The 26,453-nt window shown below is 43.1% G+C and overlaps 1 protein-coding gene and 1 long non-coding RNA gene across 4 annotated transcripts in view; one reads left to right on the forward strand and one right to left on the reverse strand.

Annotated features, from left to right (window-relative positions):
- The window catches only part of SLIT3 (slit guidance ligand 3), a 639,400-nt gene that overhangs the window by 349,917 nt on the left and 263,030 nt on the right, over positions 1-26,453 (reverse strand). The gene's annotated exons all lie outside the window — the stretch shown is intronic.
- On the forward strand, positions 1,571-26,342 carry SLIT3-AS1 (SLIT3 antisense RNA 1). The gene is made up of 5 exons (NR_109897.1): positions 1,571-1,728; positions 14,655-14,741; positions 18,730-18,800; positions 24,475-24,709; positions 26,025-26,342. It is a non-coding gene; the product is annotated as an SLIT3 antisense RNA 1 (long non-coding RNA).

A 26,453-nucleotide genomic window follows, 5' to 3' on the forward strand; every position in this document is an offset into this window, starting at 1 on the left:
CAGGGTTTTACACATCCTAAAATCTTTACTTATGGACATCAGGTCAAAGGGAAGGGAAAACACTCAACCACACTTGAAAAGTAACCCGATGTTATTGTCAGCAAATGTGCTGCAGCTGTTTTTGCTATTACAAAAGCTGGTACTTTTGTTGTTGTTAAGTATGAATCTTGTAGGAAATAAAGAGTATGATTCTGGGGAAGCCCCCTGTATAGCACTGCCCACTTTGATAAAAATATCATTTATTCATTCAACATAGGGGACTTCAAAAACAGAGTAATATTCTTTCTTGCTTTTTTTTTTTTTTGGTTTAACTAGGTGTTAGAAGGTAGGAACCACTTTTATTGTCATTTTTTATTCTTTATAACTTGATATGTTATAAACATTATTTATTATCTACTAAATAGCAAATACAAATGATAACTCTTCATTGTTGATGAAAGCCATTTTTCGGGGGTACAGGAAAGGGCATCTTATAGATTGGGAGATGAGGATTTTGATGATTGCCTAGAAGACTTTATTTTGTAATAATCCTGAAGCAAAATGGCATGAAGCTCTGCTGACCTGTGATAACTGTGTGTATTTCCTTCCAGTGTCTCACCAACTGGCAGCCATCCACTTCAGGTGTGCCCGTTGAAGGATGCCACCTCGAAGGAGATGGGACCAGCCTTGTGTTGGGGTGAGGATTCTGGCCACTTGATCTGGGCAGGAGTGCTCTGCTCAGAGTGCAGTGCTCAATCTTACAAGCCTGGCTCGCCTGAACTGTGAAAGGTCAGCAGGACTAAGCTGAGCGCCAGGATTCCAACTTCCCTTCTTCCGCCCCAGGTCTGGCAACTTGTAAATGTGGAGGCTCTGCTAAGCACTGGGATTTTATTAAGGGCCTCGTTAAAATTTACTAGAATCAAATAAAGAAAAGATCCAGCCTTGGAAATCATTCTCCACGCTGTCTCTCCTTCTGACCTCTTCTCAACCCCCATCCCCCACACCATTTATTCATCCGTGAAACCTTTAACAACTGAACTAATTCTGGAAAGTTGCCCATATCAGATATCTTCAGAAATCACTTTGGAAAATGCCTTTAGGAAGGTAGGACACCTCTTCCCATTTGTCTTATGATGGCAGGTCCAGAGCTTACATGAAGAGGCAGTGAGGCAAAGATGTAAAGAATATGGACTCTTCAGTCAGACCTGGGATGAACCCCGGCCATTACCTACTCACGGAGGAGCCTGGGCCACTTATCTAACCTCTCTGAGGCTCACTTTCTGCGTCTATCAAATGAGAATAGCGCTACTATCTGCTGTATGAAACACTGACCGAGTTAAGCAAAATAATGCAGGTTAGCTGCTTAATCCAGTGTCTAGCACATAGCAAGTGCCAAAAATGTGAGCGATTAAAAGGGGTCTTTTACTAGCACTGGCCACATCCCCATCTTATCGCTTTATCTTCCATTGAGCAGAGGTTCTGCCAGGTGCAGGGGACAAGGGAGAAGAAAAGACACGCACATTCTCCTGGGCTTCAAAGTTGTCCCATCCTTCTGTGATGTCATAATCTGAGCCATAGCCCACAAATGTGAACTCCAACAACCCCCAAACCCAGTCCTCACCTCCCACATGCTTTTCATCACCCGCTCTCACATCCCATCTGGGGCCTCTGCTTCCATCCTACCATTTCGCAAGCCTGGCCAACTCAAGCTCCGTGTGCTGCACCTAGAGCAGCCCATCTCTGTGTCAGGTAAGCACGTCAGGGCCCCCAGGATGGGAGACAGGAAAACCTCTTCTGGGGGAAGCCGAAATGGAGCAAAATGGGACAGCTCTTTGGTTTTGTAATTAAAACTGAAACCCGATCCTTCTGCTCTCAGAGACCTGACCACAGGTTTCGTTTTTCAAAGGGCTACCTGGATGCTTATTAAAGGCCAACTTGTGCCCAAGATTGGGTTACTCCACTTTCAGCAGCTGCTTGACCTCTGCCTCTTACGCCCGTTCTGAGATGAAGGCTCATGTGGAATTAAACCCGGGCTAAATAGGTGGCCCAGGGCAGCCGGGGCCCCATGCAGCTCCTCGAAAGACAAATGTATTTTGAGCAGGCCTGGCTCCTACTCCTTCAGGTCTCTGCTCAAATATTCATTCACCTGCCCTCCAAACCTACAGTTACTTACCTCTTCCTTCTTCCTCACATTGTCGTATTTTCTCATGCCACTTACTCTAAAGTGCCTGGTTTATAGATCTGCATACTTGCTCTGGCTTGCAGGCCTCTAGGCTGTTGGTTCCCTGAGAAGAGAGACTGCCTGTCTTGTTCATGCTATAGTTCCTGTGTGTGATAGTTATTGCACTGAGTGGATGAGGGAGAAGGATAAAAGTCATAAAATGCCTCGCAAAAACTTTGAGGTCTGCCTGCCTGGTATTACAGAGAAGCTTGCACAATACAGAATGTTTTGTGGGAAGGAAGGCAGGCAGGCAGGCAGGCAGGCAGGCAGGTTGGTTATGTTTTCACTCTTGATATCTCAAAGCTTTATGACACACTCATGGAGTGAACATAATCTTTGTGGCATGATACAAAGGGACTGAATCACTCAAGAAGATAATTTTATCTGGTAGTATCACCTGCCTTTATACATTATACATGTATTCTTATTCTCTCTCTCCAGCTATATATATCCAGAAAATTTTCTGAACCAAAATTGGCCAGGTCCTGAATACCTAAGTCCATGGAGTGGAAAGTCAGTACAAATTTGATGAGAGCCAGGAAACCTGAAGTACTGGTGGGGGAGAGGATGGTGAGGTGGAGAAGAGAAAGAATAGCCACAGCCAGGGCTTTTCTTTGGCTGAAGCCTAGGATAGACTTAGACAGGTCAAGACCAACGTCAAGCCGGCTTCCTCCACACAGACACACACACTTTCCTTCGCTCCTCTGAGCTGGAAAACAGTGCCTTTTGCACACAGGAATGAAGAGAAGGAAGGAAAATAGGGCAGAGAAGGTGAGCTAGCCCTGAGTGTAGGAGCATTAAGAAGCAACCTCATGCTGGTGCAGTGGTTCATTCTTTTAATCCCAGCACTTTGGGAGGCCAAGGCAGGTGGATCATCTGAGGTCAGGAGTTTGAGACCAGCCTGACCAATATGGTGAAACCCTGTCTCTACTAAAAATACAAAAATTAGTTAGGCGTGGTGGCACATGCCTGTAGTCTCAGCTACTCAGGAGGCTGAGACAGGAGAATTACTTGAACTCGGGAGGCAGAGGTTGCAGTGAGCTGATATCATGCCACTGCATTCCAGCCTGGGTGACAGAGCGAGACTCCATCTCAAAAAAATAAAAATAAAAATGCAACCTCAGAAGGTGGCAATAATGACCTTGTAGATTACAGAACCAAACTTGCAGGAGGGCAAAAAGCAAAACCTTGTCATTGATAAGGGCTATCCATCCATATAAAATGAATTACAAACCAACTAACTGGACAAAAAAAAAACAAAGCAACACCATCTATGAGTTGATATATTTGGCTCAGCCTGGTTTTTCTGTGTATTAGGAAAGGACAAAACAAGAGTGGCTCTGGGACATCCCCTTGTCATCATAATCATCCCTCCCTCACACCCCTCCCCTACAGGGCTGATTTTATGCTCAGGAGGTAAAGGGTCCTCCTGCAAGAGCAGGTTGAGGGCCTGCTTTCTGCTGACCCTGGATCTGGCAGGGAAGCTCCTGCAGGTGTGTGTTAATGACTGTGGGGAACTCTGTTTAGGGACAGTTCCAGGAGCCACTCAGCAATGATGTTCCAAAAGCCAGAGTTGACCAATATGCATGCATTTGTGCAAGCATGGACAGGCTGGAGCAGTGTCCGCTGCAACTGTCCAAAAGTGATACATAATCCATAGCTGTGTAACTTTGCACAATTAACTTCTCTGGAACTTTCTAACCTTATTGATAAAATTAAGACTTTGGAATAGATACTCTCTAAGGATCTCCCCGGTTTCAAACTTTTATAATCTTATGGAAAACATTACTCTGGCCAGGTGTGGTGATTCATGCTTATAATCTCAGTGCTTTGGGAGGCTGAGGCAAGAGAATACAAGACCAGCCTGGGCAACATAGTGAGACCCTGTCTGTACAAAAACAAAACACAGCAAAAACAAAAACCAAAAATTAGCCAGGTGTGGTGGTACTTGCCTATAGTCCCAGCTACTTGGGAGGCTGAGGTGGGAGGATTGTTTGAGGCTGTAGTGAGCTATGATCATGCCACTGCACTCCAGCCTGGCTGATAGAATGAGATTCTGACTCAGAAAAATATAAACACACACACACACACACACACACACACACACACACACACACACACACACACACAACTTTCTGTCTGCCCCCTTGCTCTTCCTGTCCCATCTCTGCCTTTCTTCTTTCCTCTCTTTGTCAAATCTCCTTCGTCTGCCTCACAAAGGCCAGTGAGCCCCAGCCGCAGACCAGGGAAGCCAGCAAATTAGGAATTTTCTTCACAAAGTTTTGAGTAGCTATTTTTCCCACGTGCTTCTCAGGCTGTGAGATAAATCCCCAAGTCTCCTGTTGAGTGCTGAGTAAGAAAAGCCAGGCAGTCTGCAAGCAAAGGTCTCCTGGTTAAGTCCCGGGGCTACAGAGCAATAAATACAGCCCCTGCACCAAGACACTTGGTCTAATACAGAAGCACATGTGCTCACAGAAATGCAACACTTCTGCTGTAGAAATCAAGACACAGCTAACGGGTGAAATGACCAGCAACTAAGGTATCATGCTGATTACTGGCGGAGTGATTTTTATGAACCAGAAAGCCTTCCTAGGAATGGGGATATAATATGCAAGTTTATAAAAACTAATAAATGATATTATCATTATTAAGTGTATCTATTCCTATTGAGAAGTCACTCCATTTGGGACATATCCATCCATTAAAAACATATAATACATGTAATTCTTATTTACTGAGCACTGTATGCTATGAGCTGTGCTGAGCTCCTCATATATGTATCTCATTTAATCCTCACAATAACATACAGATCAACGACAGCACAGTGTTAAAGGCATGTTAATACTCTCAGAGATTCTGCCCTTGGCACCTCAGCTTTTTCATCTATGAAATGGGACAAATAATAGTATAGACCTCAAAGGCTTGGTGTGATTTTTCAATTAAAAAATTATGTAAAGCACTTAATACAACATTAGGAACATAGTAAATGCTCTATAAATGTTATTTTTTGGAGTTTGTATCATTTTTACACATATTGCTACTTGAGGGAGGAACAGAGAGCATTAGACTGAGCAACAGACTGATCCCAGGTCACAGAGCAAGAGTGGGGTTTGAATCCCACTCTTGAATCCAGCTCCGTCTCTAAGCTCCATACTGTGCTGTTCCTTGTGAAGTGAATTATTACTGCAGAACTCTAGTATTCTTGAAAGCAACTGCTTTAAATCCTCAAGTAACTCAGCACTTTGTGTGACTTGTCCTGTAGTCCGCCTTTAAAAGTCATTATGGATCTTCAGTTAAAATCACTTTGCCCTGGAAAGAGGTCAGGCAAATTCGTGGCATAGACAGACCTTTAAGTTAGACATCTATGGCCTTTACTTTGAGATAGGGAGATCAGGCTGCTTCGCATGTTATCATCTGTGATTCCAGATAGTTGACTTCCCCACCTATCCCCACTCTGGACTCTCCTGGGACATCCCCTTCGACTCCTTCCCAATGCCCAGCTCACATCAGGCACTGAAGGTCCCTAATACGGAAATGTTAACGAAAGAGCTAAAAAGAGCATGGCATGAAATGGGGCTAGAAAGATACAAGACTTGGAAATGCTAGCTGCTCTCACCAAAGGAAGCTCTTAAGGAAAGGAAAGCAGCCACCTTGGCAGCCTGAGGAACATTCATAACACTTAGGCAAGGCCTCGCTGGCAGCAGGGCTGAAAGGAGCAGGACAAATTGCAGCCAGCTCCTTTGAGTCAACTGATGCTTCCCACAAGCCTCTGCATGGCAATGGGCTAAATCTCCTGCAGCAATGGATGACCTTGAAGGTGCATGCTGCAGCAGTAATTCTAAAGAGGTGTCAAAAGGGGTGTAAATAAGCAGTCCAAGGAAGAAGCTTGTCAATAAATATTGTCTATGAGAAAAAAAAGCTTAAGGAACAGCTTAGTGTGTCCAAGCATCTCCTAAGTCTTCTTTGGTTTATTAGCTTTCATAAGGAGGAGTCAGAGAAGTAATCTGGAGCCACTAAGAGTCAAAGACAGGAAAAATGGGCTTAAGCAGGAGGAAAATTCCAGCAGGACAAAGAAACACAGGCTGGTAAGATTGCTAGATTCTCTTGCTGACGAGGTTATGGTTCTACCCATACATCTCCAAGAAGGAATTCTGACACAAAACAAATCTTCCACCCACCCCCCAGAAGCCTGCATGTATCCTATTTATACTAGTTCCAGAGTTACCTGCAACATTCATACTGTCTGCGTCAGAATCACCTGAAGAGTTTATGTTAAATACAAGTTCTCAGGCCCCACCCCAGAAAACTGAGGCAGATCCCTGGGACGGGGATGCCCCCAAACCCACATTTTTTGCAAGCTCCTGGGGTGATTCCTATCTACACTGAAGTCATCGAGAAGCAGTCCCTTGTCTGCATTAGGGGAGTGAACCAAAGCCGGCGCAAGCCCCTTCCAGCTTGAATTTTCTGAATTCATACATTTTACCAAACCCATCTGAAAAGGGCAGTAAAATAAAAATAAAGCCTTCTTTTTTGCAGGGAGGTGAGCTGCTCAGTTGCCAGAGTATCAACCTGAGCCCAGGACACTGCCAGACTGCTGAGTCAAAGAGGGTTTAGCAGCCCATTTTCATAGACAGACAGGTGAGAGGAGGATGCTGGACATGGTCCCAGAGACATGGGGACTCAAGAAACATGAAGATCTGTTCACAGCTAAGGGCACATTTCCATGCCGAGAAATCAGGCGTGAGCGCAAGAGTCCTATCGTCTACCAGAAAAAGAAATCTTTGGGTAATTTTTTTCTCTGTCTTATCTCCGAGTTGGGTGGTGAACTGTGGAAACACTGTATTGATTTGCTCTTCACTCTTCAATGCTTTGCAGTCTTCTTGCGAAGGGAATTTAAAATATCTCCGACAACTCTGGTAGATGACTGGCTATTTCTAGGGAAATGCAGGGGGTCTGATGGCAGTTTTCCTTTTCCTTCTGTTTTGACTACATCTTTGGAACGGGAACACGCTGACGGCTGTCTGGGACTCCTTTCCCTAGGAACTCCTGCAGTGGCTGTCTCAAGGTCACTCGGAATGCAGTTTTGCCTCTCTCTGCTGAGGTGCCCATTAGCACCCTGCATTGACAACTAGTCACGCCCCGAGTCTCCAGGCCAATTTGCCTCCCCCACTCTGGGTTGCTGGGCAACAGGAAGGAAGCCTTGTACAGGGCTACATCTTTCATAGACAGCAAAGGGAGAACTTTTAGCTGCATCCTGGGAAGGAGAAAGGAAGTGACATGGCACTCAGAATTGGGATCTTCCAGCTGGGTCAACTCATTCCACAAGACTGCAGATCTCTCTTGCCAGTGCAAACACTGTCCCTTCTCAGACCTGGGGGTCGACCTTTGCAGAGGCGGGAAGCAAGTGATGGAATGCCTGAAAGAAGCCAAACTGCCTTCCGGGTCACAGCCTAGTTTGAAGTCTTGACTCTCTGCCCTTTGCTTTGCGTTAAATTGTGGGTTGCACCACAGCACAAGTTGCTAGTTATAAGTTAGAGTCCCAAGTTAATTCATTAAAAGAATAAATTAGGGAGACTTGTATGATCACTCACATTCCCTTGTATTTTGATAGCTTCCTTGAAGGTAAAAGAAGAGTTAGGCTTACCTAGGTCAGCGGCTTTGCATATGCACGGTATCTTATTTCTCACATATTCCATAGGCTCATAAGTAGTTACATCCACAAATGTCAGAAAAACTGATGGCTTGGCAGCAATTAGCAAATTATGATCACCTGCTACCTCTACCACTTGCTTAAAATGAGCAGGGGAGCATATGGAAAATGCAGACTCCTGGGCCCCAACTCCAAAATACTAAGGGTGGAATCCTGAAATTTACATTTTAAATAAATGTCCTCTTCCTATAGCTATCACTCTTTTCCTTCAAAGCACAGCAGAAAACATTTCTCTTTTATAAAGGATTAAATATGTTTGAGTCTTTTTATGTCCTCTTAATCCATTTTCTTTCACTGCCTCCAGCAGTGAAAACAGACATAACTTTTTCAGTTCTTTGCAGATAGTTTAAAATGCTCTTTGTTCTGTGTTTTGCTTGGGAATAAGTGTTTTCCCTGGGCTACAACAGAGACTGACAAATAAAGGCCATTTCTCAGGACAAATTTGGCCGCTGCCTGTTTTTGTAATAAAGTTTTATCGGAAGTCCTGCCATTTAGTTTTTTTACATATCGTCTGTGGTTACTTTCATAGTATCATGGCAGAGGTGAGTGGTTAAGAGAGAAACAGTATGACCTACAAAGCCTAAAATATTTTACTATCTGGCCTTTTACAGAAAGTTTGCCAAATGTTGGTTTAGAAGGGTAGTGAGACTGGCTGGCAGTTGAACAAACATATTTCCTTGTCTTCCTGGCTACATAACTAGGACTACATCTCCCAGTCTCCTTTGCAGTTGGTCCTGATCATGTGACTGAGTTCCATTCAAGGAGAGGAAATTGGCCTGGCTTGGTCCGTGAAACTTCCCTGAGTTTGATCCCCCACGATGTTGACAAACCTAGCATTGAACCTACTGCTGAAAGTGGCAGAGTTCTTAATGATTACTCTTAATCATGAATTGAGTAAAGGAGTTTGGGAATCTGGGTCTCTTAATCATTACTTGGAAGGAAGCCACCTACTCATTAAGAAAAGCCATTTTGGTCTTTATCTGAGAGAGAAATAAACCTCAATCAATTTGAGTCATTATACATTGTATTAAATTCATTTGTTACAGCAGCTGAATTAATTTAACTTAAACACAGAGCCTCCTTCCTTAGGTTAGAACTTAGAGTTAAGGAATGAAATCTTCTCATTCAGAACACATTTACCATCTGCAAAAGCATGGATGGTGGGTAAAGGGATTGCTACCTATGTAAAGGGGAAAGAGAAACACGCAGAACCAGAGAGGACAGTGGTCGCGGAAACTACTTTTGCCTGAAGTCTCTGCTCACTTTCTAAAATACCCACATAATGAATTTGTCTTCCCCATCACTGACCAGTAGATGCCCTGCCACACACAGTGCTAGAGCAAGATAACCCTTCCTCCAGGAAATCATTATTTCCAGGGGAGACGGAACAGTGAAGTGTCAGGGTTAGAGTCCTATAGAAGACTATGAAGTAGGGAGGAAAGTGTTCTGAATAGAGTGTGACAGACCTGGCTTTCAGAACCTTCTAGAAATGAGCTATGTGCTTAAGGCAAGTCACTACACCTTGGAAGCCAGGACTTCCTCATCTAGAAGATGTAGTTCTTCTGTCTATAGATATATAGATGTCTACACCCTGGAATGTCAGCACCAGACTGGATTTTAGCTATAACTAGCTCAGAGGTTTCCAAAGCAGCTTCCAAGAATGCCTGTGATCTGTCAGAGGTGCCTCAGTATCTTAAGGGATGGGCAAGGGGCAGGTTCTGGGCTGCCCACAAATTCAACTTGAGCAACATGAATTTTTATGTATTTATGGTGAGATAGTATTCTTTTTTCTTTTTTTTTGAGATGGAGTCTCTTGCTCTGTCACCCAGGCTGGAGTGCAGTGATATGATCTCGGCTCACTGCAACCTCCTCCTCCCCAGTTCAAGTGATTCTCCTGCCTCAGCCTCCAGAGTTGCTGGGATTACAGGCACCAGCCACCATGCCTGGCTAATTTTTGTATTTTTAGTAGAGACGGGGTTTCACCATGTTGGCCAGGCTGGTCTCGAACTCCTGACCTCTGGTGATCGACCTGCCTCGGCCTCCCAGTGTGCTGGGATTACAGGCATGAGCTACCGTGCCCAGCCAAGATAGTATTTTAAAATAGTAACCTATGTGTTGCTGCCCCTTCCAAGACACTCATACTCCCTTGTATCTAGGCAGACCAGATATAATTCACCTTTGCCTTAAGGACCAATTGTCCCAGGATAGCATAGAGAATAAAGACATTAATTCTTCGTCTCTCAGTTTCAAAATTCTAGACCTGCGTTGCTCACCATGGCAGCCTCTATCCACATGGAGCTATTTGAGGTCAATTAAAATGAAACATTCAGTTCATTGGTCATACTAGACACGTGTGACTGTGGCTACTGTAATGGAAGTACACATATAGAACACACCCATCATCACAGAAAGTTCTATTGGATATTGTAGATCTAAACCCTAAGTGTGCTCAGAGTATACTTGATCAGTCAGAATTAGGAGTCTCCCTCCACCAAAGATTCCTCCAGCTGGGGAAAACATCAGGGGGCAAGCCTCTGAGAATTCCCTTGCCTCCATGCCACTGCAGGAGCATTCAAGGAGGAATGGCTTCATGATGGCAATGAGCGGCATCGCCTGAAAGACAGCCTTCGAGAGTCTCCCAGAGCCGCTGAGGAGCAAGGCAGTAAGTAAAAGGATGATTTTTTGTGCCCTCGAGAATTGTAGGGAAGAAGCATATTGAGTGAGAAAGGGTTATTTCATTGGACACCAAGGTGGACAGACTTAGGTTCCATGAACTAGATGCCCACTACCTCCTCCCTTAGGCTGGGCACCGCTATACTCTCTGAAACTTGGACACAGTCCTGGAAAGGAGGCAGAGGGATTATTTGCAAGTGCCTGCTATTTAGTTTTTGTGAACAGGGAAAAGTGAACATCAGTGAGAAACTGTTACAAACAATAAAAGTCACCTTTCTTGGATACAGACACTTGTAGACTGAGTTTTCACCCACTATGTATTTCCTATGTTTGCCTTGTACAAAAATGATCCTGTAGCTAAAAACAATGAGACTGAAAACTCAAGAAAGGTTGAGCCAGAGATGTGTGTTTCTCACACCTAAAAGCATCTTACTAAATGTGATGGTTTTTGCGGGGGGTAACAAGCAAAGGCAGGAAGAAGTTTCAGGCCCCTCATGGTTTTAGATGAAACTCTGCGTGAGAACAAGTGGTGGCATTGTCCAGTGTGTGCCCTGACATCCTCCCGAGGGGAGCAAAAGCCAAGCCAAGAAACAAGAGAGTGAGCGCTCTAAGCTCAAACATGTTAAGTACACCCAAAAAGGACACACCCACCCCAGCTTACAGCCCTGCTTTGTTCCACAAGAAAATGGGCAAAAGGTGAACAGGTAATAAGAAAAAAAATATATCACCATTTCACTAAGAGTCCAGTATTGTTTGTACTTCTAGTGCCACCCACTCTAACATGATGTGTTCTGTGTATATGATGTTGCCTGAGGAAACGGAAGCTCTAACTTCCCTTATCCAAGCATGCTATCTTTCTTAATCAGGTTATTATTACACCAGCCATATTTTCATCATTTTGGATGTCTTTTTTAGGAATTGCATGAGTGTGTACATGCATATAACTAGGTACAATGCCAACACACTGAAGATCCTGAACACTCAGGCTTTGGTATGAGCTCCTCTGTGAGGACCTAGTGCTGCTATGCAGAGGAGTGAGCATGGTTGTATGGGTGGGTTTGGGGTTTGTTTTCCTCTGTTACTTGAAAAATAGCTATTTTGTCTGTGTGTAGAAATTTTTTTAGGACTGTATTCAAAGAAAAAAGAGGGGTGGAATTTTCATTAAAAGGATAATTGTAAGACTAAAGCTCTGTCATCTGTTTTCGAAACAGCTCTAGGCCTCTGGGTTGTAGGATATGTGCATTGAGAAGAGGCCTACAGTAAACTCTCCCCAGACTTCTGTGGACCTAGGAGGCTGCTGACTTCATAGGGTCATTCTCCTTGCTTGCTCTCTTCCTCATTCCTCTTGTATTTCTACCCTCTGTTCTTTTTTTTTTCCCACCACAGCTACCTGCTCTCACTCTTCTGTTATCTTCAACCCATCTTCTTTGCCCTAAACTCCTAGGCTCCCCCACCTACATTCCACCATATTGAAGGGCTTACCTGTCTGGTGCCAGCAAAGGTAATAATGCTGGGATGGCTGTGTGTGGGTGGGAGTGGGGCACAGGGTCAGGGGTTGAGTTTTATAACTCTGTTTTACCTATCTCTAAAGACAGAGGTGAGCTGGTATTATGAAGTCAGATGCATCTTTCGAAAGGAATGAAAGACTGAGGCTGGGAAAAGGGAAAGAAATTTTTTTCTTCCCAGTGGAAACATTCGCATGCTACAATTGGAGAATGTGATTCTGCCAGCTGGTCATATTGGGGCTGTGTCCTGACCTATGGACCTCATGTATGCAATTCTCTTTCTCAAAACATAGCTTCGAGGTAGGCATAATTACTCCCTTTTGGTGAATAACCAGTAGATGGACCAGAAAGGTGAAGAACATGCCAGTCACCCAGCTGCTAAGCCTCTGAGCCAGGAACTTAATCCCAAGAGCAGATTATTGAGCGTGAACACAGTACCGGAACTCAGCAATGTGGAGACTGCAAGATGGCCAGTCCACCCCGGGAGGAAGCAGAGTGGCATTTGAAGGGGATAAGATGACGTTCTTATTTATTTGTTATGTGCATGACCTGGTAGGCAGCAGGGCTGGAATTTGCCTGAGATCCTGAAGTTTGAATCTTCATCCAATATACTACCCTGCCCACAACATGAGCCGTGGGAAGACAGACATTCTCTAACTTCAGGAGGCAAACTTTTCCACGGGGGAGAGAGCTATCAGTCAAAAACTTCTCACTGGGCAGGGGGTGCAGGTACATTTTTCCTGCCGGAAGTTGCTGAAACGTCTGGGAGACTTTTAAGGTTGACTCGGCCATGAACCTACTCCAGATCCTGCTGCTTCCTTGGTTTCCAGAGCAACAGCACAGGATCGGGAGAACATACGTGGTATCAGATTTGGACAGGGAGGCGAGCAGCAGTGTTTGTCGGTGGGAACGGAGTGTGACACACACAGCCTGGGCTCTGTGCCTTGCCCAAGCTGTCACACGCACCACATCCTCCAGAAGCGGGGTGGTAACAGCCTGGAATCCACCAACCCCTTGCCTGTCTTTAAGGAAGAATAGCAGTGATGCAAGAAAGAGACAAAATAAGGAAAAAGGCAGAAAGAGGAGACATTGGTTCAGCTTGAAGAAATTCCTACCCTGATGTACACAGTATCCCCACAGGGCCACAGGATTAGAGAACAACTGCCGCTCCCAAAGTCTCCAGACACCTCCAACCCTTATGACTTGGACAACAATTTGCAAAATTAAATTACTTCTCATGGGGAAACTGTTCATTATAATTGGGGCTAGTAATTTTTCAGAGACCAGGTCTGAATGGAAGTGTGGGTCAGGGCAAAGTATAGGAAGACTCAGGAAGCAAGCTCATTCTCTTTCGCTAATAAGCACGACCCAAATCAGGGAGGGATGTTTAGAAGAGACCTTTCTGGATATGGTTCTGGAGTCAGCTGCAGAGTTAAGAGAGGGGATTAAAATACATAAATATATCTTGAATCCATCTGGAATTTTAAAGACACTATTATTCAAGGAAGGAAAGGGATGAATTCAGAAATGGCTCCAGCCCCATAATAGAAAAGGTAACTTAGACTCCAGAGTTCCCAGCTCGTACCAGAAGGTACTTACTGAAAGTCTCCTTCCAACATCTCTGGCCTATAGGTGATTCTGTAGATGTGATGTGCCAGAAACCAAATCTGTTGGGTCCAGAGAAGAAGTAGAGAGGCTCAAAACCATTTTTCCCAGAACAGATGGTACATTCCTTGCTCTTCTTTCTTTTCTTCAATCTTGTTCTTTCATGAACATCTTTTGCAAGATGAATTCTGTGGAACCCCCAGGAGCCTCAATCCATACCTGGTAAAGACGAGGCATATAGAAAACTTGGATCTCTGTGCTGTAAGGAAACTAAGAGATGCCTGAGATTAACTCTCTTTTGTACAGAGAGAAGCATACAGCTCTAGGGGCCTCCTAGAGTCATGGTATGCAAATAATTAAACAAATGGTTTAACAGCAATGTTGTCAGGAAAAGAATTTCCAATTCCATCACCATGGTGATAGTTCATCAAAAAAAAGTCTAAATCTAAAAATTGCCTTCACTTGGCTGATGGAAAATAATAAATAAGGCTCCCAGGGCCTGCACTTTGTATTATCTGTTACTACCAGCCTGAACTCTCCCCTAGTTCCGCCTTTATACCTGGCTTGGCCCTAGCATAGCTATAGCCACCTGCGATTTCCCAGGATGCTTAAAAGGTGAGTGGCTAATTTCCCAAATCCCCCAATCACCAGCCTGTCTCCTCTCCCCATGCTCTTGCTGGCATCCATTAGCCTTTGACTCTGGGTTTATTAACTGTCCACAGCAATTTCATAGATGGGGAATTTATGAAAATGACTCTTAAGCTCCTGGGTGTGGTGACTCCCTGGCAGAGACTGTTCAGCAGGAGAGGAGATTAGGATATTCTGAGAACTGCATCAGAAATGGGCACCTGTGACTTCCTTCTGTTCGAAGGGAAATGCCACAGCCTAATTTTAATATTAAAAATGAAATTGTAAGAAGGCTTCCTGAAATAGACAAAGTATGTTGTTTTGCCATTTCTAGGAGAACTGCAATCCAAGCAAATGTGGTGGGTGTGAAGCTTTCAAGAAGTTGGGTCAAGAACAAGGACTGAAAGAGGAGCATCAATTTGTAAGTTCAGGAATGTCTGCTCCATCTTTGCAGAGACAAGCAAATATCAGGGACCACCCAAGTCCATTCATTGTGAACTAAGTGAATCATGACACAACCACACAATGGAACACCGTGCAGGATTATGATATACAGACTGCTGAAGATCTAGAGTTATTGATATGGAAAGATGCCCATGATGTATTGTTAGCAAAAAAAATCAGCCTACAAAACAACATGCATAGCATAATCCTATTTAAAATATATCTTTACATGTGTATGTATATAAGGAAAAGAGTAGAAGGCTATATACTGAAATGTTAATGACTGTTACCTCTGCTGGCTTTTTTAATTTTTATATAATTTTAGCGCCTAAAACAATATTTTATGCAGTGAGCTTCTATGAATACTATCATCAGAAAAAAAAAACCCACCCCAAAACTCTAGAGCTACTTTTAGATTGACTTTTCAAGAATAAAGGATAGGGACCAGGTCTCTACTGTACCAGGCACTGTGGTGGAAGGCAAAATTTTAAAACTACATGGTCCCTGCCCTCAGGAGGCTTGAAGTCTGAATGAGGGGATATTGTGTGGAACAACATGAAATTTACCAGTAAGTCATAGATCTTTAGGAGTAAAAGAATGAAACATTAGATGACAGTGGATCATGTTTCCATGGGTAGACAGACTTAGGATGGTGGTTGAGTAAAAGAAAATTGAGGTGCCCATCCCAGATTGGTATAATATTGCTCAAGTTGCTCATGTGCCCTGGGGTTCAGTTTTCCCATCTGAAAGTAGAGTTAGTAACAGTAGATGAGGTAAAGCACATAGCACAGTGCTGCACAGGCTACATTTAGGAAATGCCCACCTTTCTGATTATTTTATCATTCCTACCAAGGGCTTGGAGAAAGCAAGTGTGGGAACAGCTTTAGATAGAAAAGACTAGCCTTTGTTATAATATTTCTTGATGCTCATAGTCATGTCCCTTTTGAAAAGACACTTCCTCTAGCGTAAGTGTTTAAACAAGTATTTAAATTAAATGGCACTCATTTTCCCAGGAACATGCAGAAGTCTGGCCCACACTTCTCCAGCACAATGCAGTTTTTATTGTAGTGCTTAATCTGTTGATGAAGTCAATCAATGGCTTTCCCCGCTTCCTAAGCAAATGACTTGCTCCACTCCAATCAAAAGGCACCTTTAATCTGATTCCTTTTCACTCAACTCTCCGCCGTGACCCATATGCCACTTTATTCCTCCTTCCCCCTCCTGAATGTAATAAGCCTGGTCCAATTTGCTTGTATAAACAGAAGGCCGAGGCAGGCGAGGGACGTCACTTGGCCGCAGCGGTTCTGCTTTTTATACATTCCTCCTGCCTTGTTTCCTGAGACCTTTCAATAGAGCCAGACTTGGAGGAGAGTTATATTAAACAGTTTGACTCCAAACCTAAACAGCCCCTGAAGCATTAGTGGTTCAAAGATCTCCTGGTGCATTTATGAAAAGCCATTGATCTGGGAAGAGGTGTTAGAGGACTTGAAATGCACTAAGAAAACTCCTTTACTGGCAGGAGGGAGAGTGGTTTTCATTAAGGAACTGCCCTTTATCTCGTCACATTACTGACCTGCTGGAGCTGAGACGGGCTGCTTCCTTTAGCCTTTAAAGGAAGCTGCCTCTGGTCAGAAACTACGATAAGAAAGCATTCATTTTTAAGACACCCACAAAAGACAGAAGTGTGGCACTGTGGTGGCTTGGTTTTCTGAGTTTAATCCCCAAATATTCTTTAAATTGTAAACCTTGTGACCACCTCTGATGCACAGAAGCCTTAAGAATGCCAGGGGTTATTTCTCCAAATGTTTGGTTATTAGTGATGGGAAAAAAAAAAAATCTGTGAATTATGTACTTCAGAGCTCAGGGGGACTTGAACTATCACCTAGAACTGCGTCTACTCTTAACTCAGGGTCATACATGTCCCAGAGGACCATTGGTCAGCTTCAGGGCTGTGTAGGCTCCCACAAATCCCATTGTGCGCTTACCAGCTGGGTGAACTGAGATGAATTCTCTTGTCTTTGCCACGGTTTTCTCATCTAGAAACTGGGCATTGTGACCTCCTAGGATTCTTGCAAGGATTAAATATAACACATGTAAAGTGCCTTGTACAGTGCCTGGCACATAGTTGGCACTTAATAAATGCTATAATCATCATTGCTTGTTATTACTATATTATTATTCAGGCAGTCTAACAATTGTGAGCAATATTTTGCATTTATTTGCACATGTCCACTTTCCTAGGAAGAGGTCCATACATTTCATTTTCATTTCCCCCAAAAGGAGAAGAACCACTAAGCTAGCTAGACTAATAACTTCTTTAATTGATGAGTAAAATCCTACCCAGAGGTTTAAGTATTTTTTCGACAATCACATGGTAACCTAGAGGCAAGGTGAGAGCTAGAACCCAAAATGTGTTGATTCCACTGCTTTCCAAAATTTTGGCAACACTAGCAAAAGCAGCCCAGGCCTTGCACAAAAGTGACCTATAAATAAATGTAGAATAGGCCTGGACATATATTGGTGGCTTCAAGGCAAAGGGAGTGTTCAGGGGTCTGGAGGTGTGTGATGGCTGTGGAGCTGTGAAAACACCACTTGACATGTATAATCAACAGAAGAGGGGGTGTGCAAACCAGATAGGAGGAGGAATGGGTGGGGACTCCAGGAAGAAAACACCCCAGTTGCAAATTCTTCTGCATTTCCCATGCAATAGCAAAGCAAGTTGATCCCATAAGCTATCCGTAAGCTTCACCAAATCCAAGAGAATCTATGCATAGCTGACTTAGGAAACAGTAGGTATTTGTTGAATTCTGAGTGATTGCACCACTTTCTCCGAGAAGACATAGCCACAGGACTTTGAGGTTTGCACTCTTTTTGTTAGCCAGATTCCTTAAAATACTCTGATATTTTCCTAGTTCATTTGTTCTCAAAGGGTGGCCCTGGGCCAGCACTATAGCTGTCATTGGGGGAACTTGTTAGAAATGCAAATTTTGGGTCCTCTCCTCGGACCTACTGCATCAGAGACTGTGGGGTGGGGCCCAGCAATCTGTTTTAACAGGGTTTCCAGGTAATTCTGGTGTGCACTCAACTTTGAGAACCACTAAGTTAATTGGTGTGGCAGAGAAACTAAGCAAGAAATGAGGGCTTGAAAAAGCCTTCCAGCAACTGAATCCCTAGAATACATTTTTTGTTTGTTTGTTTGAAATAAACTGGAACTCGATTAGTAACTTACATCTTCCTGTGTTTTGCAAACAAGAGATCTTGGAAGGAAGTAGAAAATCAATTTCAAGGCCTTTCATCTCAGTTACAATGACACATTCATTTTAGCATTGTGTGGGGAGGGAGGGAAGGAGAGAGCAGGCAGGCAGTGGTTGGGTTTGTGGAGAGGAATACACAATTCCAATGGAATCCACTGTAATTTAGGGGCAATTAGCATCTGCACATTCTCCATTCATGAGGCTCCATTAATCCAGTTAATCCTCATCTTCTAATCAAAAACAAACATCCTTGAGTGTACTTGAGATCCTTTTAACACATTCTCCCCACCTGAATGCTGTCCTCTGCCTTGTAATCCAGGGCTTTTAGGAACCACTTCAGCTTTTGGAAAGAGGGGAGCTACCCACCACCTTGGCTGGGTCCTGCCAGCCCCTTGGAAACCTGCCCTCTCCTAGGCTGCACCCTCCCCTGAAACTTGTTCTTTGACTAGACCTGCCCTCTCCCTGCTATTATTTAAGTCATTCTTGATACTTCTTTGCTATTCTGGGCAGCCTTCCCTGACGACTTTCTGACTGCCCCTTGGCTAAACACACAAATGCTTGGATAATACTAATGCCTTGCATTGCTAAGTCACTTCACTGTTTCCAAAGGCCTTTCCTAGTCCACTTTTCATTTGATCCTCCAAACTATCATAATATCATTACTATTTCTCCACTTCCCACCCACTCTCACCCTCCCTCTTCAATTTACAGATGGGGGCCACTGAGGCTTTCAGAGATTTTGTGACCTACCAAACTGGCACAGCTAGTAAATGGATGACAAGGTAGGTTCAAACCCAGGACTCCTGATCCGCAGGCGGAGATCTATTATAGAACACTGTTTCTTTCTGACCACCCACCTAAATCCATAATGCCAATGAATAATGCATTTGTCCTTTCACTGTGTTTATGTCTTTGGAATGTTTTTGTATCTATGGAAATCAGTGCATCTTCCTTAATTTTGAAGCCTCTAAGGAGAAGAAACCCTATCTGTGTAACTCAGGCTCAAATAATACTGTAAAGTACTTCTACCTATTCAAAATATTTTCATCTTTGTCTTATTTTATCCACAAAACAATCATATGAGTTAAGGAGGATAAACAATATTACATCTATTTAATGGTAAGAAAACTGAAGTTTGGCCAATAAAAGCAACTTATTGGCTCGGAAGTAGAACGTGGTATGGTTGGGAATAGAATACGGCTTTCTAATTTCTGGTTCTGTATTTATCTATTAGATATGTGGTTTTAAAATTGTGACCCTCGGGCTCTTGCATGCTTCTTCTTGGAAAGGCGAGGCAGACAGGGCTCAGGGTATTCTACCACTGGTTTAACTAAAAGCTTTCCTCTCCTGAATAGCAACTTAGAAGCCCCTGACAGGTCCTCATTTCCTGTCTTGAGTATCCAGCATAGTAGTCGTACTAGTCAGGTGTAAGCAGTGGCTTCAGGATAATATCCTTGCAGATGGCCCTGGGAAGCCTTGAAGTTTTTGCAAGCATTTCAGACTCCCTGGCTTGTGATCAGTGTAGGCAGTGAAAACTGCACTTTGTCCTCAGAGTAGGAAAGTTACCCCTCAGCCATTTCATATTCTGTTCATTAATTCAACAAATATTTGTTGAGTTACTATGTGCTAAGTACTGTGTTTGCGTCTGGGACTAGAGGGGTAGAAAAAAAATATGGAGGTGATTTCACCTCTACCCTCATAGAAGATGCCTTCTGATAGATCTGAAACAGATAATCTTACCAATAAATAATTCCAAATCGTAATAAAAGCTATGCAGGAAAGATCTGTTTGTTGCATGAAAGAGCAAGGAGTGGGGTCTCACCCAAACAGGAGGTCAGGGAATTACAGTTCATGGAGGTTACACCGAAGCTAGATTTTCTTGGGAGGGCACACCTGCTGCATGGAACAGCACCGTCTGGCATGATGCAGCAAGTGTTTGTCCTGGTTGAGAAATCCAGAGGAGACACAGCTGGCTGGGGCCCAGTGAGCAAGAACAGAGTAGTAGGAGATGGGAGACGGGGTCAGGAGGAGCAGGGCATCGAATTCATACACAGCAAGTTGGGTAGTCATTGCAGGGACTTAAGTAAGAGGTATCATGATTGATTGACTATCATGATGACTTCGGCTATTGTCTGGAGAACAAATTGGAGTTGGTCAAAAGCATAAACAAAAGAGCTGGGAGGAGATGATTAGGTGGTTTTCCTTTGTTACACAGTTAGAGGTGCCCTTGAGGGATTTTTTAATTGAATGTGGAAGAGAGAGCAGACAGCATGGACAAGACTTAGAAGAGTAAGCATGGTAGAAAATAAAAAGCACTACTTTGGATTAGGTGATGTGGTTCCAATCCTGCACCTCCATGTCCTGGATGTGTAACGTAGGACAGGCCACATAACCAACCCCTCTGGCCCTCATTTTCCCCATTTGTGACAAGGGGCTAATAATCCAAACTCAGCGGGTTATTAGGATGCCTAATTCATGTCAGTGAAAGTCGACTGTAAATGGGAAGGTACTATGAAAATACAGGATGTCATTATCATTAACCATGTCCATATATACAAAGTAATTATAATTACAGCTCTGAGTAAATATGAAAGAACATTTTTTTTATCTCTGTGTCCTGAAAATAAGTTACTGGAAACCAAGACTTTTGTGTCCTTAGGTTAGAAGTTTGGATTTGTATTTCATAAATCTACCTTTTTTATGCTAGAAACTTTACAATTGATGAATAAAAATCACTTTAATCTTTAGAACAATCACATTTGCTCAGAATTATAAAAATAGTCATATTTAGTTCATACCATGTCTTCTAAGCCTTACTCACTTATGTGCCAGTCATTTTTTTTTTTTACCATATATGTGTAAATAGTAACTTGATGTTTTACTTAAGTTGAACTTATATAGATTCCCCTCCATGTTTTAGTTTCGTTTTTTTTTTTTTCAGTGTAAAGAATACTACATGTGAAGTCATGGAGTCGATCTGCTAGTTATTTTTTTTTTTGTCCTAATTCACATGAAAATAGTTGGAGGACTGTTAACATATAATCTAAACTATCTAACAGGACCTCATATAACACTCATGAATACTATGCTTGGGAAACAAAAGCTTATTCTACTCATTTTGTAAAATGAATTTTATTGTGTATATTGAAGGAACAACATGATATGGGATACAAACACATAGTAAAAAAGATACCACAGTGAAGCAAATTAACATAGCCATCATCTCATAAGTATCCATTTTTCCTTGATTTTTTTTTTTTTTTTTTTTTTTTTTTTGGTGGCAAGAGCAGCTGAAATCTACTCCTGTAGCATGAATCCCAAATATAGCACAGTTTTCTTACCCATAGTCTTCCGGTTGTACATTAGGTCTCCAGACCTGGCCACCCTCCCTACTTAATACAGACCTCCATCTCCCATCTCCTCCCTAGCTATCCCCTGCCTGGTAATCACTGTTTTGTTCTCTATTTCTGTACAGTTGGGTTTTTGTTTGTTTGTTTGTTTTTAGATTCCACATATACTTGAAACAATGCAATCTTTTTCTTTCTTTGTCTGGTTTATTTCACTTAACACAGTGCACTCCAGGCTCGTCTATGTTGTGGCAAAGGCAAGATCTTTTTTAGGGCTGAATAATATTCCAATCTAGACATATACCACAGTGTATTCATTTGTCTGTCACCGGACACTTAGGTTGTTGCCTATGTTCACTGTCACAACGCTGCAGTGAACACAGGCATGCAGGTCTCTTTATGAGGCGGTGATTTCATTTCCTTTGGGTATGTGCCCAGAAGAGAGATTGTTAGGTCATCTGGTAATTTTATTTTTAATTTCCTTAGGAATATCCATACTATTTTACATAACAGCTGGACCAATCTACATTCCCAGCAACAATGTACAAGGGTTCTCTTTTCTTCATACCCTCACCAACATTTGTTATCTTGTGACTTGATAGTTGCCATCCAAATGGGTGTAAGGTGGTATCTCATCTGGTTTTGATTAATAATTAATTAATGATGAATGATGTTGAGCACCTTTTCATATACCTGTGGGCCATTTTTGCATATTCTCTGTAGAAATGCCTATTCAGGTCTTTTGCCCATTTTTAAATTGGGTTATGTGGTTTTTCCACTATTGTATGATTTTTTTTTTTTTTTTTTTTTGAGATGGAGTCTCACTCTGTCACCAGGCTGGAGTGCAGTGGCACAATCTCGGCTCACTGCAACCTCCACCTCCCGGGTTCAAGTGATTCTCCTGCCTCAGCCTCCCGAGTAGCTGGGACTACAGGTGTCCACCACCACGCCCGGCTAATTTTTTGTATTTTTAGTAGAGACGGGTTTTCACCATGTTGGCCAGGATGGTCTTGATCTCTTGACCTTGTGATCCACCTGCCTCAGCCTCCCAAAGTGCTGGGATTACAGGCGTGAGCCACCACACCCAGCCTTTTGTATGAGTTCTTTATGAATTTGGGATATTAACCCTTTACCATATATATGGCTTGTAAATATTTTTTTCCCAACCCATAAGCTGTTTCATTTTGTTGATTATTTCCTTTGCTATGCAGACACTTTTTAGTTTGATGTGCTCTCATTTATTTGCTTTTGCTTTTGTGTCCTGAGCCTTTGGTGCAATATCCAAAAAAAACCTGTCAAGGCCAATCAATTGTCCAGGAGCTTTTTCCCCGTGTTCTCTTCTAGGAGTTTTATGGTTTCAGATCTTACATGTAGGTCTTTTATCCATTTTGAGTCTATTTTTTGTGAGTGGTATAAGTTAAGGGTCCAATTTCGTTCTTTTACATGTGGAAATTCAGTTTTCTCAGCACCATTTATTGAACAGACTATCCTTTTCCCATTGTGTCCTCTTGGTGCCCTTGTGGAAAATTAGTTGACTAGTAAACCATTTATATTCTAGGTCTTTTTCAATATAAAATTAACATGGCCTTCCACTGGCCAAGTGGTGCCTTGGAATCACCTGGAGTGTTTCTAAAAGTCATAAGGCCCAGCTAGACGCTAGATCAAATAAATAAAAATCTCAGTTCATGGGACCCAAGCCTCAGGATTTTTAAACATTTCCTATGATTTTTTTTTTTTTTTGAGACAGAGTCTTGCTCTGTCACCCAGACTGGAGTGCAGTGGCTTGCAATCACTGCTTACTGCAGCCTTGACCTCTCCATGCTCAGGAGATCCTCCCACCTCAGCCCCTTAAGTAGCTGGGACTGCAGGTACAAGCCACCACGCCCAGCTAGTGTGTGTGTGTGTGTGTGTGTGTGTGTGTGTGTGTGTGTGTGTGTTTTGGTAGAGACGGGGTTTTGTCATGTTGCCCAGGCTGGTCTTGAACTCCTGAGCTCAAGCGATCTGCCCACCTTGGCCTCCCAAAGTGCTGGGATTACAGGTGTGAGCCACTAGTGCCCAGCATCCTTAAGATAATTTTTATGTGAACTGAGACTTAGAACCACTAACTTAGATTCTTGGATGCCTTCTAGAACTTCTAGGATTAGACAAATATTGTGGATAGACTGTAAGAGAAGAACCTGGCCATAGTGGAGACAATCACTGTTATGTTATCCAGAGGAGAGGGTCATCTTGATCAATAATATTAACAGTAGTAGTAAGAGTAATACTGCTACTACTGATGGCAACATTGAAGGCCAACTTTATGTCAGTATTCTTCCAAGTGCTTTATAAGAATTACTTCATTTAGGCCAGGCACAGTGGCTCACGCCTGTAATCCCAAAACTTTGGGAGGCCGAGGCAGGTGGATCATGAGGTCAGGAGATCGAGACCATCCTGGCTCACACGGTGAAACCACGTCTCTACTAAAAACACAAAAAATTAGCCAGGCGTGGTGGCGGGCACCTGTAGTCCCAGCTGCTCGGGAGGCTGAGGCAGGAGAATGGCATGAACCCAGGAGGTGGAGCTTGCAGTGAGCCAAGATCGCACCACTGCACTCCAGCCTGGGTGACAGTGAGACTGCATCTGGAAAAAAAAAAAAAAAAAAAAGAATTACCTCATTTACTCTTCACAACAAGACTACAAAGTGAGTACCACGATAATCTATTTCCAAGATGAGGCATCTGAGGCCCAGAGAGGTACAGTCACTTGCCCAAGGTCACACAGTACTAAGTAGTAAATCTGGAATGAGAGGCTCCTTGAAAGCAATCCTAAATTTCTATCCTTTCTTGATGGTTTTCTACTTGAAACAGTTAATATCGTAGAGTCTTGAATCCTGTTACATCAACTCCAGCATCTCCTTTCTCTGAGCCTTTTTATTAGACTTCTTTCCCCATCCCTAATTTTACAGACGAGCACATTTTATTGATGTGAAAATGAAGACTTATAAAGACTGTCCTATTTCCCAGGTCATATAACCAACTCCATGTGTGGTCCTGTGAAAGTGCCCTAACTTCTTTCAAATATGTTTTTTCTCATTTGAGTTGCAAAAATAAACCCATCTGCTTTGTAGCCATTAACATGGAAAGAAGAAGAGGCATCCAAAGTGTTGGGTCCGCATCGCCCTTGCCTTGGAGGAAGCTCCAAATAGAGGGAAGGATGGTTTCCAGCAGTCCCTGAAGTGCCTTTCCTCCTTCGTGGGATCCAGTTACACCCAGCAGACTTCAGTTTGAATAAACAGAACTAGATGAATACACCTAGGGAATCTGTGAGGCCAGCCTCAGCTTTTAACATCCAGCTACAGGGAGGTGAGAGAAGCTTCAGCCAGTTGTTTTCTAAGAGCGAGATAAAGAAACCACCCTCCAATTATGCATCAAATTCTGCTTCACAGTTGAATAAGGGGCATGAAATCGGATGTTTTTCAAGCTCAATATAAAGCAGTGGAAAACCTACCTCCCCTCTCCCTCCATAAAGAACATCTAAACGCACAGCATTTAATTTCCGAATAGGGCAATGTTCTTTTTAAGGGAAATGTTAAGCAGGGATTAGAGACACGATGGGCTGTGTAACTCTATCCTCAGCCCTCTCCTTGTTAATAGTAATTTTTTTTTGGCGGCGTCTGTGCAGAGATGTGGGAAAAACCAAAGTCTTATGTAAATGAGAATTGACACATGCTCGATAAACCAAACGCCAGACCTGAGATCTTAATTACACAGGAGTCTAGATGTCAAAATGAATGCAGCTTATTGACGTTCAGAGATTTCACTCGGTATTAAGTTGGACGACCTTCTTCCGGGACCAGAGAGCAAAGCGCTGGTTTCTCATTACCCAGGGCCATCTTCACAAATGGCAAAGAGCTGTGTTCATGCCTAGACACTTTTCTAGGTGGAATATATCCCTGAACCACAACACTTAACACCTGCTCATAGTGGGACAAGCAAAACAAGATGTTTTCAGGTGTGGGACAAACCACTGCTAATTGACCAAGGGCTCTTCTGAGCAGAGGTCCCTAACTGCACCCTCTCTCTCCACTCAGCCCCCACCTCCATCGTGCCTATTCATGTAGTCTCATTCGTGCCTCTAAGGCATTGCCAGGGGCACTACTTCAACTTCAACAACTAATACTCCTGTGAGATACACAAGAGCATTAGTAGTCACTTTTTAATGTCAAGAAACAAAGTCCATAATTACTAAGCATTTATGTTGCTGAAGATGAGAACACTTGGCAGCTTGGGTAGCTCACAAAGCAGCTCCTGGTAGACTAGGTTTACTGGCCCATAGCTTTATTCGTTAGTGGAGACAATGGCCATTACCCTAAGCAGCACAGGCTCTGTTTTTAAAGGGAGAGAAAGCTACTTTCAGGCTTGGGCATAACCAAACAGTGCTCAGTGGGAGTCAGGTTCTTTGCCTTGAAATAGAAAAATAATACACCCTTTCCCTCCACCTCCACTAATTAAAGTGTCAGGATGGAGCCCCGACACTGACTTGACACATGACATGATGTCTCGTGTAATTGGACGTGTTTCACGCTAACATCAAAGCCTCGTCAAGGATGATGGAGCGAGATGTTTAGTGCATGCCTGTTGCAGTCTGACATATAACTCCATCCAGCTTCATTCACAGGCTCTCGCTCACCGGGAGATTAACCCGCCAGGCTGCTGAGTGAGAGGGGACAGAGTAGGCCCTGACGGGAGGCCTGGGACGCAGGGGAAATCAAAACAAGTCCACCTGCTTAAGGAGACTGCCGCACTGTGACCTCGTCCTCCGGACATCTGTGGCAAGTGTTACCGCAGCCACTGATGTGGCGCACTGGGCCATTTACAGCTGCCTCATGATATTCTTTTTCACGACTGTGTTTACACTATTGTTTAACAACTTTGTATAACAATCTCTTTTCACTCCAAATAAACCTTAGTGCCTGGAAGGCCAAGAGTATCTTCAGTATGTGTCTATCCTAGTAAGCTTCTCAAATGATACAGAATTTTTCGTTTTTTTTAAAAATTTCCAACCTCTCATGTGCCAATACTTTTGTATAATCAAAATGATTAGAAA

The sequence above is a fragment of the Homo sapiens genome, chromosome 5 (assembly GCF_000001405.40).
Source record: "Homo sapiens chromosome 5, GRCh38.p14 Primary Assembly".
NCBI classification, from domain to species: Eukaryota; Metazoa; Chordata; class Mammalia; order Primates; family Hominidae; genus Homo; species Homo sapiens.